We start from the raw sequence: 1370 nt of genomic DNA on the forward strand, positions 1-1370 counted from the left end.
CGCCTCAGCCTCCCAAAGTGCTGGGGACTGTATATATCTTTTGCAATATCTCCCATATTTAGTTTTTTCTTCTGGAAGAGTATACTCTACTATTATTAGGCAAGTCCCCAATGAGGACTTCTTTACCTGTAAGGAAAGCAAACTTCAGAAAGTTGACACTGGTTGTAGAGAGAAATCTAGGTCGAGAAGCCACATCTTCTGACTCATAGTCTTATACTTTGATTAGTACTCTGTATGGCTTCACCTAATACTGAGACATCTGCAAGAAGCCTCTGGATTCTGATGTCTTCCCTTTTCAATTTCCTCTTACCAATTTATTTAAAAAAAATAACTGTACCAGGTGTTTTGCTAGGAGCTGGGTACCAGTCTGCCCCTGCAGGACCAGTTACATAATTTGAGGGACCCACTGCAAAATAAAGATGCAGGACCCCATTTTCAAATAATATTAAGAATTTCAAGATGGTGAGAGCAGAGCATTAAACGATGTGTAGGGCTCTTCTGAGCCCAGTGCCCTGTGTGCCTACATAGGTTGCAAGCCCAGGAAGCTGACCTTAGCACCTGATTGTTCACATAGCACTCTTCTTAATGTCATTCCTTTGCTTATGACTTATTAAGTGGTCCTCAGAAACGTTTAAACTCTAAGAACTCTCCCCCTTTTGGCTGAAATCAGACTTTCCATTCTGACTTCTCATGGTTCTCCTAAGCAGACTCTCTTCCTGCTTAACTAATGAAATAATATAGTTGAAAAAATATCAGTTTTCTCAGCAGCTGATAGCAAAATGGTAGGCGCATGAAGAGCTCAGAGTGAGTCACTCAAAAGGAGAAGTGACCTTCGGGAAGATACTTGGATAGCAAGAGGAAGAAGTATGTTCTTCTAGATGATAAAGGAAGTGGAGAGGAAGGAGAGCACAGTCTTGGGGAGAGAGGCTTGACTTCTCTGGCAGCAAATATTTCCCAGAGAAGACATCAGTTGAGAGAAGGGTTCTATTTGTGTTAAAATCTTCTGCTGACTGCCTTGCTCAGAACGCGTTTGGCATGGAAATTCTGAGGCTGTGTTAGGGTTGGCGGTGACTTCAGACTGGGTGTGGTCGCTCATGCCTGTAATCTTATAACTTTGGGAGGCTGAGGTGGGCAGATCACTGAGCTCAGGAGTTCTAAACCAGCCTGGCCAATATGGCAAAACCCTGTCTCTACTAAAAATACAAAAATTAGCTGGATGTGGTGGTGCATGCCTGTAATCCCAGCTACTCGGGAGGCTGAGGCAGGAGAATCACTTGAACCTGGGAGGCGGAGGTTGCAGTGAGCGTAGATCACACCACTGCACTCCAGCCTGGGTGACAGAGCAAGACACTGCCTCAGAAAACAACAAC

This window comes from Homo sapiens, chromosome 5, assembly GCF_000001405.40.
Source record: "Homo sapiens chromosome 5, GRCh38.p14 Primary Assembly".
NCBI classification, from domain to species: domain Eukaryota; kingdom Metazoa; phylum Chordata; class Mammalia; order Primates; family Hominidae; genus Homo; species Homo sapiens.